The sequence below is a fragment of the Homo sapiens genome, chromosome 12 (genome assembly GCF_000001405.40).
Source record: "Homo sapiens chromosome 12, GRCh38.p14 Primary Assembly".
NCBI classification, from domain to species: domain Eukaryota; kingdom Metazoa; phylum Chordata; class Mammalia; order Primates; family Hominidae; genus Homo; species Homo sapiens.
Genome location: NC_000012.12, coordinates 119131275 through 119151567, shown reverse-complemented (window position 1 = coordinate 119151567; position 20293 = coordinate 119131275). Strand labels below are relative to the sequence as shown.

General features: G+C 44.2%; 1 protein-coding gene and 1 long non-coding RNA gene across 3 annotated transcripts in view; one reads left to right on the top strand and one right to left on the bottom strand.

Moving 5' to 3' along the window:
• Positions 1-20293, bottom strand: part of SRRM4 (serine/arginine repetitive matrix 4) — a 181511-nt gene that overhangs the window by 11484 nt on the left and 149734 nt on the right. The window contains exons 9-10 of the mRNA NM_194286.4: positions 5883-6187; positions 348-551 (exon numbers count right to left, since the gene is read on the bottom strand). Of these exons, the coding sequence (NP_919262.2) occupies positions 348-551; positions 5883-6187 (509 nt within the window). The remainder of the gene's footprint in view (positions 1-347; positions 552-5882; positions 6188-20293) is intronic.
• Positions 473-13756, top strand: LOC112268101 (uncharacterized). 2 transcript variants are annotated; one of them, XR_002957434.2, is made up of 3 exons: positions 473-557; positions 8674-8923; positions 12079-13756. It is a non-coding gene; the product is annotated as an uncharacterized LOC112268101 (long non-coding RNA). The 2 variants fall into 2 exon arrangements; XR_007063481.1 differs by lacking the exon at positions 473-557 and adding an exon at positions 743-842.

The window sequence follows — 20293 nt, the reverse complement described above, 5'->3', positions numbered from 1 at the left end:
ATAATTTTCTATGCAGAAGTTAATTGATACACATTAGCTCATTCTCATGCCAATAGCAGCAATAATAACTGATATTCATTATGTTCTGTGTACTGTTCTAAGTGCCTTATAGCCCTCAGAACAATCTTTTCTGGTAAGAATTGCTATTTCTTCATATTGCAGATGGGAAAACTCAGGTTCAGAGAAATTAACTGACTTTCCCAAGGCCACCAGCTCGAAATGGGCAAAACGAGTATTCAAACCTAAGTCCGTCTGACTTCTCTCCCCCATGGGTCAAAGGACATCTGCAATTAACTAATTTCCTAAGGAGAAAGGTGCTGCAGAGCAAAGGTCAAAACCACACTCACCTTTTTTCAGAAGAGGTGGATCGGCTTTGGGTGTACCTGGGGGAAGCCCTGGGATTTGGGGATCGGGACGAGTGACTGGAGGATCGGGTGCTGGCATAGGAGGAGCTGCGGGAACACCCTTTCATGGGTGAGCTCCGGGCTGTGGATGGGACCAAACTGGACTTCTTCACTTCGGCACATTCCAGACACGGTGACTGAAATCCCCTGCAGGTGGGAAAATGTCCATGAGCACCGACTGCCCACTACTCTGGGAGCATCTTGTTTGAATACCTCCCTACCTTGGCCTAGGCTGTGGTGCTCTCATAGAACCCTCTTTGCCCCTTTTCCCATCCTATTCTCTCTGGAAAGACTTCCCAGGCCACATATGTTAGAGGAGTAGAGACAGAAGATACCTTAAAAGTAGACAATTCAGGTTAGCATTTCCTCAAGTGTGAAACACATACCGCTGGGGCCACAGTGGAGTATTTTAGAATGTCATCAGGCATGGGCATGATGGTAAGTAACATCAGATTACATGGTGAGAAATTTATTCCCTGTCTAGTCTTTTTCTGTCCTTCTGATTACATTAATGAGGAAGCCCCCATTGGGTGCTAGTTGGTTTGTAACACCTCTCTAACACTTTGTAATCTCTCTAAGAGAGAGGAGCACACCTCAGACTCAGCCTTGGTTAGGCAACTGCAACTAGTAGGATTAAATCCATTGTTTTAATCATATGTGTTTTTATAGGTACCTTTTATTTAGGACATGTGATTCTTTTTTTGAGACAGAGTCTCACTCTGTTACCCAGGCTGTAGTGCAGTGGCTGACTGCAACCTCTGCCTTCAGGGGTCAAGCAATTCTCCTGCCTCAGCCTCCCGAGTAGCTGAGATTACAGGTGCATGCCACCACACCCAGCCAATTTTTGTATTTTTAGTAGAGATGGGGTTTCACTATGTTGGCCAGACTGGTCTCAAACTCCTGACCTCAAATGATCCACCCGCCTTGGCCTCCCAAAGTGCTGGGATTACAGATGTGAGCCCCTGTGCCCGGCCAAGGACATTTGATTCTAATTTTCTATTTCAGATAGTACTGTAATTTTCCTTTTACTTATATATTAAAAATGAGTTTATTAAAGTAAACAGGAATATCAGTAGTACATGGATATGGTAAAAATCAAGATGACCTGTTGTTGGTTTAGTTTTGGGAAATTTTGATGTAACCCATTTTGCAGTTGGAGGAATTGAGACCTCCCAAAAGACAGAGGCTTCAGGATTATCAGAAGGCTAGAGTGCTGTCTTCTGTACTCCCACCCTGCCTAGGGCCAGGCTGACCTCTGTTAGGTGCTCAGTGAAGGCATATTTATTTGGATTGGGCCAAGAATCAAGTTCAAATCACATTAATATGGTTTTCAAGGCTCACGATGGCCTGGCACCTGCTCACCCCTCCAATCTCAGGTCTTGACTCTTTCCTCTCCTGACTCCAGCTGTCATAGACTACTTATTCCTCCTGAAATATCCCTATTCTCTTCCTTGTCTCCAGGCCTCAGAACATTCTGGCTGTCTGCAAACCCTCTCCATTCCCTCTTCATCTGGCAACTCCTACTTATGATTCTGGCTTTAGCTTGACCTCACCCTTTCTGGAAAACCTTCCTTGACACCCCCGTCCCCTGTCTGGGTTGGGCGACCTCCAGTGTGTTACCACAGACCTTAGTTCTATGTTTTGCCTATCCCTATATGGCTTACTTAGTCTTATACTTGTAGGCTGTCTCTTCTGTCCCAGATATTGAGCTCCCTGGAGACAGCTCCCTGGGGACCTTTTCAATGTTCTGAGAATTTCACAAGCATCATTTCATTCCCAACAACCTTCTGAAGCCGACATCATTATTTATTTATTTTTTGAGACAGTCTCGCTCTGTCGCCAGGCTGGAGTGCAGTGACGTGATCTTGGCTGACTGCAACCTCCGCCTCCCAGGTTCAAGCGATTCTCCTGCCTCAGCCTCCCGAGTGGCTGGGACTGCAGGTGCGCACCACCACACTCAGCTAGTTTTTGCATTTTTAGTAGAAATGGGGTTTCACCATGTTGGCCAGGATGGCTTTGATCTCTTGACCTCGTGATCCACCTGCCTTGGCCTCCCAAAGTGCTGGGATTACAGGCATGAGCCACTGCGCCCAGCTGCCAATGCTATTATTACCCCCAGATTTACAGAGAAGTCTCAGAAGGGTTTGTTATTTCCTCAAAACCACCCAGAGCCCCAAACCTTGATCTGTGCAGCTCCAGAGTCCCCACCCCTCCCACCTCACCAGCTCCCTACCTTCAGTGTCTATGGTTCCTTTGATTTAGAGCTGATGTCTCTTCCACTCAGCCCATATTTATTGAGCCCTCTCTGCTCATAAGTGGCATGACATAAACAGTCATGGACTCAACCATCATTTATATTTCAAAGTGAAAGGCTGGGTCTAAATTACTTAATTTGGCTGTCCATGGAGATCAAATTAAACAGGTAACTGCTAGATGTCTCTCAGGCTTTAGTTCCTGTTTGGGGGACATATTTGTATTTGAATTCTGGTGCTGCCACTTATTAACTGAGTTTCTCAACCACTCTGAGCCTCAGTTTCCCCATCAGGTAAAAAAGGGTTACAAATAGTACTGTCCTATAAAGGTTTTGAGGAGCTCGGGAAGATTATTTCTGGAAAGCATTTGGCAGTGTACCTAGCATGTGATTTGGGCTCAACGAATATGAACTGCCGTTATTATTGTTGTTGTTATTGCTATTTCAATTTTTCCTGCATAATAGCACTGCTGTATATCAGTAAACATGTGTCCTCCTCCTCCCTTCTGGGAACTTCACTGCCTGTTCTTGGAGACACTGACATTGGCTCTGGCCCAGCTCAGGTTCTCAGTCAAGCTTGGGTGTGAGCTGAGGCCAGGGATGACCTGGGGCAGGCAAATGGGAAGGCAGTTCTGCATGTGGATGTCAAGCTGTTTGTCCAGGACTGAAATGGGGTATGTGTTAGGGACAAAGAGTGCTCTGTCTTTGAAGAAGCTGTTAGCTGCTTCAGTGCTAAGGCGTTAGTCATCTTTTGAAAATTTTGGCTATATGGAACAAAGGCAAACTCCCACCCTCAGAAGTAGAAAAACCTCACTGTTAGCATGACAGAGGGCACCAGCAAAGCTTTTCCACCCATCCCGCAACTGTGCATCTGCCTCATTAATTATAAGCTCCTGAGAAAAAGGACTGTTCCATTTTTAAATCCCCAGCACCAGGCTGAGTGTCTGGCAGAGAGGACTTGCCTGATAAACAAGTTGAGGAATAAACAACAGAATGAATGGTACAGACTAAGTGATCAGTAAATTTTAGTAGCTATTATGATGACAGTAACCTCAGTGATTAGCATTTTGTTGTGATTTCTTGAGTGAGAGAGTTAAGCGGATGACGAAGTAGAATTACAACTGGCTCATATGCATCTGTGTGGAAGAGTTTTCTGCAGGAAAACTGCATCTAGTGAGTGTGTTAAGATGGGTAAAAAAATGGAGAAATCTCAATGTTCTCTGATATGTTGATAAATTATACTATGGTATATCTGTATCTATAATTAATAAACTTTATTTTTTAGAGCAGTTTTAGTTTCATAGCATGATTGAATGGAAAGCACAGGGAGCTCCCATATACTTCTTGCTGCTACACACGCACAGCCTTATTCCCCACTATCAGCATCCTCCACCAACGTGGTCCATTTGCTACAATCGATGAACCTCCATTGACACATCATTATCACCCAGAGTCTATAGTTTACATCAGAGTACCCTCTTGGTGTTATACATTCTATGGATTTGGACAAATGTATAATGACAGTTATCCACCATTGTAGTGTCACACAGAGTAGTTCCATTGCCCTAAAAATCCTCTGTGCTCTGCCTATTCATCCCTCTGTCCCCTCACCCTCTGGCAACCACTTATCTTTGTACTTTCTCCATAGTTTTGCCTTTTCCAGAATGTCATACAGTTGGAGCCATGCAGTGTGTGACCTTTTCACATTGGCTTCTTTCACTTAGTAATATGCATTTACATTTCCTCCATGTCTTTTCATAGCGTGGTACCTCATACCTTCCGAGCACTGAATAGCATTCCATTGTCTGGACGTATCATAATTTATGTATTCATTCACGTACTGAAGGATATTCTGGTTGCTTCCAAGTTTTAGCAATTACAAATAAAGCTGTTGTAACATCCAAGTGCAGGTTTTTATGTAGAGATAAGTTTTCAATTCATTTGGGTAAATACTGTGATATGTTCTTTTTTTTTTTTGAGATGGAGTCTGGCTCTGTCACCCAGGCTGGAGTGCACTGGCGCAATCTCGGCTCACTGCAAGCTCCACCTCCCAGGTTTATGCCATTCTCCTGCCTCAGCCTCCCAAGTAGCTGGGACTACAGGCGCCCGCCACTATGCCTGGCTAAATTTTTGTATTTTTAGTAGAGACGGGGTTTCACTGTGTTAGCCAGGATGGTCTCGATCTCCTGACCTCGTGATCCACCCGCCTCGGCCTCCCAAAGTGCTGGGATTACAGGCGTGAGCCACCGCACCTGGCCTGTGATATGTTCTTAAATGACTTACAATTAATTTAATGTTAGACTTTCTTTCATTTTTTTTTTCTTTTGAGATGGAGTTTCACTCTTGTTGCCCAGGCTGGAGTGCAATGGTACAATCTCAGCTCACTGCCACCTCCGCCTCCAGGGTTCAAGCAATTTTCCTGCCTCAGCCTCCCGAGTAGCTGGGATTACAGGCATGTACCACCACACCCGGCTAATTTTGTATTTCTAGTAGAGACAGGGTTTCTCCATGTTGGTCACGCCGGTCTCGAACTCCTGACCTCAGGTGATCCACCCGCCTCGGCCTCCCAAAGTGCTGGGATTACAGGTGTGAGCCACCACGCCTGGTCAATGTTCGACTTCCTTCTAAGATTACTGGTAAAATTGTCATCTGTTTTTTTGCCTGCCTAGCCTCCATCTCTCCTGATACCAATAACCTGGCTTTTCCTGTAGAGGAGTGTGGGAAGGTTCGACTCATTAGCCCTAGTGATGGCATCTGACACATTCTGGCCAACAGCATAGCATCCCCTGGGACAGTGATGGGCAGATGACCTAAGCTGGGCCAAACAGAACCAATAAGCACCTGCCTTGGTGTTTGGCTGAAATCTTTGAGAAAGAAGCATTGTTTTCCTGTTGGCTGGCTAAACCAATAGAATGTTAGCTGCTTGGCATATTTGACAATGCTTTGGGAGGATCTGCTTGAGAATAAGGCCAGTAGGATGAGGAAGCAGAATAAGAGATGTAATGAGAAAGACGGATTTCCAGCAACATATTTTTGAACCCCTGAATCCAGCTGTACCTGAAGCTAGTGCCACTAGTGTTTTAAAACAAGCCAGTCTGAGTTGAGTTTCATCTCTCTTACAAATAAAATAATCTTGGGGGTGGAGTGGGGGAGGCTGGGATGAGAGCATGAGAAGGTGGAGCTAAGGTGGGAGACCGTCTACCCCCGACCCTGTGTGGTGCACTGACCTTGACTCTCTGCCCCTGCTGGTGGGGGAGAGATTCTCCAACATGGCCCCCTTGTTCTGGGGTGAGGAGGTGGTGAAGGAGTTCCCTGAATCAGAGGTGTTGCCACTGTTGAGCTCCCGGCTCTTGCTCAAGCCCCCACTGGGGCTCCCCTTCTCCTGGCCCCGAGACCTGGCTGAGCTGGTTTGCGTGGAGGGTGGCGAGGACGTGTCATTTCCTGAGTCGTACTCCTGGGAACGTCCTCGCGAGGTGGTGAGCGGGCTGGCTGTTTTGGTAAAGAGGTCAGCAGCAGACCCCGACCCAGTGATCTGAAAGCAAAAAGACCCGTTGGACACTGCTGAGCGCTGGGCCCATGGGCTGTTTCTAAATAACCAAGAAATGTTTACCGTCATGATGCACTGTAACGAAAGGAAAGAGAGAGAGAGGAGAAGAAAGAAGAGACGCCAAAAAACAAAAGCACAAATTCCTGAAGGAATACCACAGAAAGGAGATTTTTTTTTTACCCCCTGCTAGGATAACTGGAAGATTTAGGTATCATGCAGAGAAAAAGCATGCGATTCAGATTAAACAAAAGAAAAAGGAAATTATACAAAATTTAATTTCTAATGAATTAAACAAAAGAGTCAACTCAATAGAAAGGGGGTGTAAACACCCTTAACCTAAAACAATAATAAAAAATAAAGGAAGGGAAAGGGGAAAAAGAAATGGAACTATGGGCCTGAAAAAATATATCTTGGAAATTAAAAATAAAAGCAGATAAAGCCAAAATTTTAAACTTCAACCAAATCCTCAATTAATTTAACAATTTTTTTTGAAAAGAAAAAGTTGCCTGAATAGAAACCTAAACAAATATCACATGGGGAAAAGAAATGAAATAAAGATGAGAGTTTGTTTTTTGTTTTTTTAAATATAAAGTCAAGGTCGCAAACTGACATTTTAGCAGTTTTCAACTAAAGGGGAAAAGAAAGGAGGGGACAAAAAAAATGGAAGTTAAACAGTCTGACCAAAAATAAACGAAAAAAAGGGTCACTATAGATATTTGTGTGTGTCCTTTTCCCCTTGTAGAAGGTAGCTAAGGCTCTTGAGTGGCTTCTAATAAATTCTCTCATGTCTTTGCGGATTATATCCACTTACCAAGCAAGAACTCCTCCTTTAGTAGGTAGGTAAGGTGTAAGAGAAAGGGAAGAGCGGGCAACGTGAGTCCATCATTAGAGTCGCAATTGACAAGAAAAAACACACACCTTTCTGCACATCCTCAAACTTGGCCCTGAACTTTGAGTTTTGGTTTTTTAAGTGCCCTTGACGGGTGGGGGCATCAATTCTGTTTTGGTTTTGTCATAAAGGGGACCTAACCTAGCCAACCTAATCAATCCCTTAGGGCCCAAGTTGGAGCAGGAAACCCTTGTGGAACATGCCAGTGGCAGCTAGAGTATTGCATCTACTACCTAGGTGTGAATATTGAGGGGGCACGAGGGAGGGAGGATGCGCTTGCAACAGAGGGCTTTGGAAGGGGCTTGGAAATTGGGCTTTGGGGTGACTGGGAATAAAGAGGGGCCCCGAGAACCCTGTCTAGGGCTGATCTAGGACCAATGAAGGAGTAAAGGAGGCGATGGAAAGCCAGCACTTGGGAAGGCGGGCACGCGTTTAGAAGCAGGATGGCGAGGGGTTTCTTTAAATATTCAGACCTGTTGTGGCTGGGATGACACAGTTAAGTTTGATGCTGGCCTCTGCCAGCAGTACCATGCTTAGCTGCGGATGGGAGGGACCCCTGCCCTGGGCCTTCTCCAGAGATAACCATCCCTATGGGATGAGAAATCTGGGGGACCAAGAAGGCACCCCCTTAAGACTGCTGCCCGCCTTAACCACTCTCTGGGTACCTGAGATCCCAAAATTCTCTGTTTAAATGACTCCTATGCCACTTTCCAGGTCTCTGTAGACCTCATCCATGGATCCATTCTCCTGCAGGTAGACCATGCTTCAAGTGTCCACACTTCTAGGTCCAAGGGTAGCTATTTGGACAGAACTTGGATGTTCAGGCTGAGGGGTCTATATGCATGTGTGTAAGCCCCATCATGGTGTTGGATGTGCCAGATGCAGAGAGAGAAAGGGATGGTTCCAGGGCCAGATTCTCCCGCCACTGCCATGTCATATCCTGGCACTCTGAAATGGTCCAAGGGTCTAAATTCATAACTAACTTTCAGATCATTTTGAAGGTATGTTGACCAAGATAAGAGAACATATTAAGTTTGCTGACTTATTTATAAACATTTAGACATCTAATTTGTGGGTCTTCTTCTATACCTTTGCTCTGACCCCACAAATGTTAGGGCAGCTTTCACCATAAAAAGCCTACTCTTTCCCCAAACTTTATCTTGTGCATCTTGGCCCTAAAGGAGGGGGGACTTCTACTTCTGGAATTTCTTAAGAACTATTTCTGCCTTCTCAGCAATTGGTCATGAGGGTGAAACACAGACACATTGGAACTGTGAGAATAGCATAACTCCTGTGGTCAGGATGTCAGCTCCTGGGGCTGGGGAGGCAGGAATTCCTTTGTAGATTCTCCCAGGAGGCTTTGCATACAGGCAAGGTGATAGTCTAGCTTTAGCAAGTTCTGTCCAGCACAGCTGCCACTTTACCTGCATGGCACACTGGATAGCTTTGCTTTGGGAGAAGGGACCTCAAAATAAGGTTGCTCTGGTGGAGTTTTCTAGAGTGAGACTTTTAAAACAATAATGTAAAGGCCCTGTTCCCATTCAGTCCTCCTATTTATTTGTCTTCTTGTTTTGCATTTTAGATGCCACATCTTTCTCAACTCTGGAGTTCAATGGTAACACATGTATCTCCACCACCTCTGTCAGGAATGTATCATGCCAGGCAACTAGACCCTGAGATCTGCGATCTCTGGCTTGGGCTTGGTACAAAGATGGGATCATGGAATCTTTGCCCCAGAGATGGTGAGTGGTTGGTAGCCAGTGTATTACAAGTGAATCCAACAAGCCCATCCTGGAGGGAGCTAGGCTGGAAGAACTCAAGGACAGGGGCCTGTGAGTACAATAATTTTCATTATCTTGTGGTTTGCTACCTGGAGGCTGCCAGGCTGGGCCTTTCTCTCCCAAGTACTTGTTCCTAGTCTTGACTACGAATTTCATTTTTCCTGGTGCACCATGGATCCCCGTAGGCAAGGATTTCTTGAATGTGAGGCCCCTCTGGGCTAGTGGATATAGAAGTGGATCTAGCCTTGTTCATCTTCTCAACCCAACACTCTGAGCTCACAGGGATACTTTCAGAGTATCACCACCTGGCTCTGACTTATCCACATGTAACTTGTGTGGTCAGAACTGAGAAATCTACAAGGCATTATGCTTTTCCATCATCACCAGAAAACAGGGATAAAGGCACTATTGAAATGTTCTCATTGGGTTAAATTTGGTGCCTGAAAATACCAACCTCTCCTGCATGTTTAAAAATCCCATTTCTTTGAATGGATCTAAACTCTTTGACATGGATGACAGTGTTTTTTACAGCCCGGTCCTGCCTACTTCACAAATAGCATCTCTTCCACACCATCCCACCCTGGCCCCCACAGCCTAAGCTGACTGATTCAGATTCGAGTTTTCTTGGTTCTGCCATCCCATCTTGTTCTAACCCCAGGCCATTTGCACATGCCATTTCCTCTGCCTAGAATACTCCTCTCTTCCCCACTTCACATGGCTAAATTTATTCATCCTCCAGGTGTCCTATCACCTCTTCTAGAAAGCCTTCTCTCATCCTCCAGACCAGGATAGCACAATACACTGCACTTCATTCATTCACTGAATCTTGAATTCACTCACTCATTCAAAAATGAGTGTCATTTGTTTGCCACAGCCCTGTTCCTCAGTACAGTAGTTGCTTATTTTATTGGCCGTCTCTCTGACTGGGTTTGGAGCTTGCTGAGGGCAGGGCCATGACTGGTTCAATGTTGCACCCCAGCATTCACCAATGCCTGGCACAGAGTAGGCACTCAGTAAATTTTGCCTAATGAACAAGTTTGCTCTCCGGTCCTTTGAAAGCCTCTGTGGGCCTGCCTGACTTCATTTATTGTAGAGACAACTGGGTGATCAGGCCCAGGTGGGATCCAGCTGGGTGTCTGCCAGCTTTGGGAATTTGAGAAGAAACCAGCCTCCATCACACTGAGAATCGTTCTAGGAAACTTGGAGACCCCTGGCTGAAGCTTGGGGTCTCAAGACCAGCTCGGCTGGGTGTGTGAGCTCGAGAGAACCTCTAGAATCAAATATTTATTTTTATTGATATATAATAGATGTACATATTTTTGGAATATATGTGATATTTCGATACATTCACATAATGTGTAATGATCAGATCAGGGTAATAGAGATAGATATCCATCACCTTAAACATTTATCTTTTCTTTATGCTGGGAGCATTCAAATTATTCTCTTCTAAGACCGAGCATGGTGGCTCACGCCTGTAATCCCAACACTCTGGGAGGCCGAAGTGGGTGGATTACTTGAGGTCAGGAGTTCGAGACCAGGCTGGCCAACATGGCGAAACCTTGTCTCTACCAAAAACTACAAAAATTAGCCGGGTGTGGTGGCATGTGCCTGTAGTCCTAGCTAGTTGGGAGGCTGAGGTGGGAGAGTTTCTTGAACCTGGGAGGTGGAGGCTACAGTGAACCAAGATCACACCACTGCACTCCAGCCTGAGCCAAAAAAAATTATTCTCTTCTAGTTACTTTGAAATATAAAATAGATTATTGTTTACTAGAGCCACTCTACTGTGCTATTGAACAGAAGGTCTTAGAAGAAAGTTTGAGGTCCAGACCCCTGGCAGAGAGAAAGAAAGCCCTCTGTTCTTTCTCTCATTCCCCCTGATACCCCTCAGACCGAGGACCCTGGGAGAAAGCACCCAGAGGCTCTGCACAGATTCTCAACAGCATAAGCTGCAGCCTTCAGGTGAGAAGTTTCCGACCTGCAAAACCTTTCAGATGAAACAAGCTGTGCTGGGTCTTCTTACTTCTTATTCCACTCTCTGCTACTATGGGAGCTCAAGTTCAAAGATGGACTGAGTTCAGTCATTTGCATGCAGCAAGGCTGCCAGCCTGCATAGTGACTTTGTTCCTATTAGGAAAAGGTACTCCTATAGAGAATGGAATGATGGTTACTAGAGACTGGGAAGGGTAGTGGGAAGTGGAGTATAAAGTAGGCATGGTTACTGGGTACAAAAATGCAATTAGAGAGAATAAATGAGATCTAGTATTTGGTAGCACATCAGGACGACTATAGTTAACAATAATTTTTTTTTTTTTTTTGAGACAGAGTCTCGCTCTGTTGCCCAGGCTGGAGTGCAATGGCATGATCTCCGCTCACTGCAGCCTTCACCTCCTGGGTTCAAGCGATTCTCCTGCTTCAGCCTTCCAGGTAGCTGGGATTACGGGTGCCTGCCACCACGCCCAGGTAATTTTTTTTGTATTTTTAGTAGAGACAGGGTTTTGCCATGTTGGCCAGGCTGGTCTCGAACTCCTGATCTCAGGTGATCTGTTCCGCCTCAGCCTCCCAAAGTGCTGGGATTACAGGCGTGAGCCACTGCACCCGGCAGAATTAGCAATAATTTTTCTTATATTTTAAAATAACTAAAAGAGTGTAATTGGAATGTTTCTAACACAAAGAAATGATACATGCTTGAGGAGATGGATGCACAATTACCCTGATTTGATCCTTACATAGTGTATGCCTGTATGGAAACATCACATATACCCTGTAAATATATACAACTATTATGTAGCCATAATAATTAAATTTTTTAAATGAAAAAAAAAGGTGCTCCTTATGGGTCAAGAATTAGAAAAAGGTGCCCTTTCTGGCCAGAAAGATTAGAAAAGAGATAGTACACCTTTTTCTGGGCTGAAGCAGTCCTGCATCTGTATTCAGAGCTTAGTAAATGGAGGGCAGGGGGGTTTTGATCTGCCAGTTGCTCTCCATGCTGGTCACCCTCTCAAAGGGGACAACCAGCATGACATCATGTCCCTAGCGGGTATATCTGGAGTGAGTAAATCGTCTTACTCCATCTGGCCTACTTAGAAGATTCCTCTGGCAGAGAGGAGGTGGTAACCTGAAGACATTCATTCCTGCTTCTTTTCAGCTGAACTCTACTTGGTATTGTCTTTACAAATCTTGATGTGCTCTGTTTATCCTTCCAGGTGGTAGGAGCATTTTCACAAAGTCATCATCAGAGATATTCAGATAGTTTAATGGTCTCCTAAACCCCAGACTCCACCTTCTGCAGAGCTCTCCATTCACTCCACAAGAAGAGGAGGAAAGAAGATACAATTGAGGGAAGCCCAAGACAGGATGGGAGAGGTCTGACCGTGGAAGTGCAGAGGAGACATTAGAGTTGTGAGCATCTGATGGGCTGAAAAAGGGGCCTCCCATGGTCTTGCCTCTGCCCTTCCATCCCTGGGTATTGCCTTCCTAGTCAGCCACTCTCTCTGGCACATAAGGTGCAAACAGTCACCCCCCTCCGACATTGATACAACAGGATGGTTCTCCTTTGCTTCTTTTTGCCTCCTTATTTATATAATAGGCCTCTCATAATTCATCTTTGAAGAGCTCCTCTTCATGCATTGGGAGTTTCTCTCTGTGCATGCAACTGCTCTTTGTCCCAAGATACTTATTAGCAAGAGCCACTCCAGATCCTCTGTCATCTGGTAATAATGCCCTCCAGGTACCCAGGACCCCCTTTTAAGAGCTGGAACCCTTACACCAGGGTTCTCTTCCTTGGTCCAATTTTACCTCTTCTTCCATCTCAGCCCTCACCCTCCATGATGTCTACATAAAAGCCTACTTTCGGGGTATGGCATGAAAATCCAGCTTCCACAAGATCTACTTAATGGCCAAATGAAATAATGCCTGTCTAATCTGGATTCTTAGAAGTCGAGATGGAAAATGAGTGCTAATAATTTGAGAGGGCAAGGAACCTCTGTAATGGAGTGTGGAAATGATGCAGAGGAGAGAGGGAGACAATAAAAGATGCATTATCAAACCAGCTATTACAGTGGGCAGTGGATGCTTAATCTCAGTGAGGACACCCTGGGAACCAGTGTAGAACATGCACCCCAGAGTTAACCTCAACCAAGGAGTGAGGGAGCTGGGATATTTATACACCAGTTCCCCATCACTCAAGGCTGAACACTGGAGCATCAATTCTCTAGTATGTCCAGACTGCCAAACAGGCAGAGAAAATAGGTTTTGGCACCAGAGAATACTATCTGGAAGCTGGAAGTCAGCCATGCGCCCCGAAGTGCAGAGGGTGAGGATCTATATATGGACACTATCTGCTTCAGTACCCCAGGTCAACACTGGAAAACCGGTGAGCCGAGTTATGCTTTGTTTCAGACATGCTTTCGTTAGCTCCCTTAGTATGTCAGGAAGTAAACTGGAATTAACTGCCAACGTTGGTAGAATGGGAGGTTTCATGTAACAACCCCATTTCCAGTTTCTGTTGAAAAATAAGATCTGGCAACACTGGGCCCAAATCCCTGCCTGGCAAGAATCAGCTGAGAGCAATTACAGCTGCCCCTTTTAGATGGGGCATGAGCTCTCCGGACCCCAAACCCCACGAGATCATTGTTACTCATATCTATTAGCTGGCCACCAAGACCTCTAAGTTGGAGACCCTCTGTTCTAAAAGTTTGTTGCCACTCTGATCCCTCTGTGAGTAACATAAACCTGGTACATCTTGTATGTTTCATCTCTTCCTTCCAGATCTGTGAAGTGTATTGCTCCATCTCTCCCATCTCGACCTTTTTAATCCCTCTTGGACTTTTGTCAATGAAAGGAACCAGGAGACCGGATCCATTAAACCATATCCAGACATCAGAGTTATTATAAACTCTTTCTCTCTGGGTCAGGGTAGTCAATCTCAGACATTTTAAAATTTAATTTTAAAAATTTTAAATACAAAATGTTTTTCATGAACTCAAGGCCATTGGGGGGAAGTGAACTATTTCCCTTTTTACTCCCTCAACCCCTTCCAATGTGAAGCTCCAGTATCTCCTCTCTCTCTCTCTCTCTCTCTCTCTCTCTCTCTCTCTCTCTCTCTCCACTCCAAACCTCGCCTCATCTCCTTGTTCCTTAATATACTCAGTGTTCACATTCAGGTTTTTCTAATAAGTAGTTAAATCCCCCCACCACGAACTCCAGCTCCCTGGCGTTTCACTGGGAGTCTCTCTCAGCCCTCCAGGGAAGCCGGCACTGTTATTTATTGTTTTTGTTTCAAATCATTATTTAATCAAGAACGGGGAAAAAAGGCAACCTCTCACTTACACTTCAAAATTTAATTTCAGCTGAATTCTAAGATCAAGAGGCAGCACGGCCTAATAGGATACAAAAATACAATCAAGAAGAGAATTCCAATTAAACTGAACAAGTCCATTTACTGAGCTTCAAATGGCCCCATAGAGAGAGGCGGCTATACATTTTTTTTTCTTCCCTGCCATATGGGAGACTGGAAATTCTCATGTGAGTGTGGAGCTGTATGGTAGAGCTTTTAGCTAGAGGGTTCTGGTTATTCCTTAAAAAAAAAAAAGCTTTTGTTTCACAAAGACATTAAGTTTATTTTCCTTTCTGTTGTTCATCTTCCTTAGTGCACTAATTAGGAAGACAGCAAAAGAATGGATTCATTGACCTGGTAGGAGTTCATCTGGGAGGAGGAGGAGATGGAGAAAGAGAAGGGAGATGTGCCGGGCATTGTGGGAAGACAACAAAGTCCTTTAGGGCTGGGGCTATCCCATGGGGCTGTGCACTGCATTGAACCTTTGGTAGGCAGAGGTGGTCTGGCCTCCTTATTATTTTCCTTAAGCAGGAGCCAGAGGGAATGACAGCTTCAGGCTCACCCTTTCTTTGAAGCCTCTCCTGAGGACCCCCTGCCCACCTGTTCTCAGAAATCCCCACCGGGACCCAGTTAGATACATTATCACCAGCCCAAATTGAAACAAGAAAAAATAAGTTCAATGTAATTAGTTTTTCATCCTGCTAAATACTTTCGATTTGAAGACTCATTTTTTTCTTCCAAGGTCGTGTCTTTCCTACTTCTTCTGATGGTAAAATCTCCCTTTAGTGATAGAAAATGGTGGTTTTTTCTGTTCTTCCTTGGCAAAAGTAAAAGTTGACAATGCTATGTCACTTCCCATTAAACAAAACAAAACAAAACAAAACAAACAAAAACCAATGGCCCAGAAAATCCCCAAATCTCATTTCATCCACCTTCTGTACTTTGGTTCCTCCCTTCTCTCAACTATGATGATGGTATTGAATGTTGGATATTGTGTCTCCCAGTTGAGCAAGAGCTCAAAGGCTTTGCAGAATGTGCAAGCACCTGGACTAGGGGTCAGAAGGCCTGAGCCATCCAGATTCTCCCTCAGCCCTATTTTCCCTATCTACAAAGGGGGAAGCATATTCCCATCTCGCCTTTCTCCTGGGGTTGTTGTGAAGTTCACCTGCGATCTTGGATGGATTCAGCTTTTTGAGGCTAAAGATACTCCGAGAACATCATATCTGGGTTTATTTGGGATAAGTTTAGTAAAGCTGCTATGATGACAAAAAATATTATGGCAACTAGGATACTTTGAGGGTTATGTCCCAAGCATTGGGATACTTTTTTTCACACAGAGCATAAGCTACATGAGGGCAGGACAGTAGATGCTTAGTGTTTATTTTTGAAATGAATGGATACCTTATCTTACTCTATCCTCATAACAATCCTATAAGTAGGTATGATTATTATTAGCCCAAGGCACAGATAAGGATATGAGGCCCAAAGACGTGAAATGGCACAGAGGAGGTCATGTAATTAAACATGTGGACTCTGAGGTCAGACTCCCTGGATTCAAACCCTAGCTTCTCTGTTGAATAGCTGCTTTTTACTTATTTTTTCTTGGCTGGGTTTCCTTATCATAAAGTGGACATATTCATGGAAGCTCCATTGAAAAGCTATTATAAAATTAAATGCAATGATGATGATACATGTAAAGAATTGGCCTAGCACCTGGTGCATAGTAGGTGCTCAGTAAACACCTGGTGCATGGCAGGTGCTCAACAGGCATTAGTTATTGCTGTCACCTAGGGTCTCACAGGGAGAGATCAAGAACTCCAGGGTGCCCAGATCCATTCCAAAGTTCATGTCTTAATCATATTGCCTCTTCCAGTTTACAAATTTCATGAGATCCTCTTTTATGGACTACGAGTTCTGCTTTTATTATTATTGTTTTTGGTTTCGACATTTGTACAGGTTTTTGTTGACAAGGATTAGCAACTATTGGCCCAGGCTGGAGGCAAGAAGAGGAACAAGAAACCTGCCATTATCTTTGGCCCAGCTCCAGACTTGATCAGCCTCCTTCTAGAATTCCTCTCTGGTTATGATAGACTTGATAGAGAGCCCCATATCACAGGGAAAGGGCTTGGCTAATCCTTGGAGCCATGAGCCTCTCCATCATCCAATCCACCTTCCCATCATCCAGCCCACCCTCCATGCCAACTATCAGGGTAAGCTTTCAAGGCACAAACCACAACTCATAACAGTTCCCCTTTCTCCCAATTTTGTTACATTCCTAGGTACCAGCACCTCACAGGGCCTATTTTCCCATCTTCGAAATGGTGATAATAATTGCACCTACTTCAAATAACTGTTTTAGGTACCAAATGAGGCAAAAATTATGTAAAGTATGTGACAGTGCCTGACACATAGTGGTGTTTTCCCCTCCTTCTGTCCATCAACAATTGCAACCCAATGAACTCCTATGCATCCTTCAAAGCCCAGCTCAAATGATCCTTTATTGGTAAAGCCTTCTCAGACATCAGGACAACATTGTCTGGCCCTTACTCTGTGCTTCCATTACACACTGTAGTTGCTTTCATCACTGCCAGGAGTGACATTCACAATATTCGATAACTAGTTCGTTGTGGGTACTGCCCCACCACAGAGGAAGCTGGCTTTGATGCTGAAGGGAAGTAAGTGTCACTTTTCTGTTTCAGGATTTTGAGAAGATCCAGAAAGTGCCAAGGGAGAGAAGGGATGGCTAGGTTGACTGGGGTTGGGTGAGGTAATGACAGGGCCTATTTACCAACTGGCATGAAAGTATTTGAATATTTTAACAACTGGAGAAAGTACTGGTGCTCCTGACTCAATCCCAGCCCTGATTACAAAATGATCACACTATATTGCAGCATTCTTCTGACTACTAGACTGTGAGCCCCTGGAGTTCAGGAAGAGTGTTTTTTTTTTTCTTTTCTTCTTTTTTTTTTTTTTTTACAATCTCTCTGCCTCCCCAGTACCTTGAACAGAGATGGTGGAGTGAAGATAAGGACCATGTGTGAGGTAAACTGTCTTGGGATCTTCTATTTGGATTTGGGTGCTGACCAAGCAAGAGAGCCTCAGGTTAGCTTTAGCTCACCAACTAAGATTTCCATTAAGAACCAACCCCCAAATTTGCATATTCATATATGTAAATAAGCCCCTTGATATTATGCAACTGTCCTTGAGTTTTTAAAAAAGCTGTGCATGTGAAATATCTGTAACCAAATATGGCATAGAAAATCCTTCATGCTTGGGCTCCTCTTTACCTCCAGAGCCCATATCTTGCCATGGAATTTTATCTCAACCCTCAACTCTAGTCTTTATTTTCCCCCTTCATTGGCTCACCCTTAGCTTTTCAGGTAATTGTTACCTTCTCTGCCCAACCCTAACCCTAATCCCAGTCCCCTCCCCTGTCTGCTAACCTTGCACCCCCAAATAAGCATCTGAGCACCAATTGTTGTGCATTGCCTTTAACTGTTTTTAACTTGTCTGTCTCGCTTCATTAGAAGGCACAGGCTATTTCTTTCTTAGTAATTGGATCCTGAGATAAGTCAGAGCCTGACCCTTTGTAGATGCTCCATAGGTGTTTGTAGACTTAAATGAATGATCAGACAGGTGATTCAATGAAAATGACTCTGCTGTTAGCTTTAACAGAGAGAAAAACTTGGGGCTAGGAACCTTGGAAAACCTTTGATCCAATCTGGAAACTTCTTCCATCTCTGCTTTTGTAATAGAGAAGACGAGAAAGGGCCATGCATGAGGAGTACTCAAAGAACCAGATCTGGGGCCATGTGATTCTTCCAGGAGCCAGGCAACCTTAAGTGGGGCAGAGTAGCCATGTGAGCTGCAGCTACCATTTAGGATAGAAAGAAATTGGTCTGGGAAGCAGGGGTCTTGGCTCTAGTCCCAGCCCAGCCTATGCCTGGAACAATACTACTATTACTATGACTACTACCACTGCTATTACCACTGCTACTACTATTGTGGCTACCACTATCACCACTACTATTACCACCACTACTATCACCACTGCTATCACCACTATTACTTCTACTGCTGTTACTATCACAAGCAGTAAGCATTATGCAGCATTTACTTCTTGCCTGTTATACTCTAAAACTTTTACTTACATTGTGTCATTGAATTCTCATAACAATCTTATGAGGTAGGTCTTATTGCTATCCTTGTTTTGCAGTTTTTGAGGAAACTGAGACACAGAAACTTGCTCAAGGAGTCACAGCTGGTAAGTGCAGAGCCAGGATCTGGAATGTTGTCATCATATTATTTGTCAAGTTTTGCACCTGTATCAAGTACTGGGCTCAACAGCTGCCTTCTGAAGAAGAGACTGTTATTATCTATATTATTATTATTTTATTATTATTTCTTACAGATGAGGAAAGTACAGCTCAGAAACATTTAAGTAATTACTACTATCTCAGGGACATGATGTGACCACGAATTAATAATTCCATGTTTTTAAATAACTCTGCCTTGCCATGGCCCATGTGAATCATTTCCTTTCTGTGAATCTCAGTTTCCTTTCTTAGTAATCAGAGCATTAGGCTAGCTGAGCTCTTAAGGCCTCTCTTATAGGTACAGGTGAACCCTGGTTTTTAGCTCTTCTGATAGGGCCAGGCTCATGAAGAACAGTGAGGCATTGCACCTCAAAGCCATTAAGAACCCATGTGTTTTAGGAAAGCAAACTACCAATAGCCAATCTGGTAACCTCCCCAGCTTGTGTGGGAGGACAGACCCAGCTTTTTGTAACATCTTGACAGACATATCTTGTTGGAAAACCATCCCAGACATGTAAGAATGTATAAGCCAGTTGCTTCCAATGGCACTTTTTAGCTAGGGTCAATTGGGACCTCCAGATGGACCACCACAAATACCATGACCAGAGCAATTAGGCATCCTTTACTAACTTAAAAACATTCCTCTACCTCTTAATGCTCATATTTCAAATTTATCTTTACCTTTGCCACAATCCTCCTGGGAGACAAGCGGGATAATCATGCCCATTTCTCAGGTGAGAAAGCTGAGGTTGAGAGGGGTAAAATGACAAGTCCAGCCAAAACAAGACTCAAATCTAGGCCTCTATACTTTCTATCTTGCTGGGAAGACCCCTTTTTGGATATTTGTGAGAGAGAGAGTACGCAGATGGGCATTTGCCATCTGCAAGGACTCAGTAACCACAGACATCTCTACCAAGAAGGAGTCTGGGGACAGTTGCAGATGGTTCCAGGTAGGCAGAGGATTTGGGTAAAATTAGACCTTGGTTATGCTGGGTGCCTTGACTGGTAAAGAAGATTCCTGGAATGCACTGCAGATAATTATTGTGTCAACCAGGCCCAACCGTTGTCATTGCTTTCCCTTTCTTGACATCCCCACAAGCACCCCTGAACTTTTCCTTGCTTCCACCTCACCCTTCCTTAGGCACCATCTACCTGAAATTTTCAAGTTCACATGTAGCTAGAGAAAACAGTCCCTTTCACAGCTGCCTGCTGCAATTGTAGACCCTATCAATGTTGACTCTCTTCCTGTTCGTCTGTCTCTTTAGAGTCTACAAAAGGCCTTCACGTACTTTATCTTATTGGATAGTCCCAACAATTCCATACGGAAGTGGTATTTACTTCAAGTTTACCAATGAGAAAATGGAGATTAAGTAATTTGCCCAAAGCCACACAGCTAGGAAGTGGCCAAGCTAGGACTGAATTCAGATCCATTTCTAAGTCTCTTGCTCATGGTGTCAAACTATATGAAGTCAAATTCCAGCTTGTCCTTGTTGACTTGGGGCAGCACTGCTTAATTCTATTCAATGCTGGGTTGCTAAATTGGATTAACTCTTGCCTTGCTCTGGGGCTTTACCCCAGCCCTTAACCTCTCTGAGCCTTGATTCTTCTTTCCTATCTGTAGAAGGGACTAGTGAGAACAGCTGTGCCCTCAACTCCCAAGACCTTGTGTGGCTACATGAGAGGATGTAGGTCAAGAGCTATGACCTCCTTGGAAGAAAATTCTCATATAAATTCAAGGTCATGTTTATAGGTGAAATGAAATCCCAG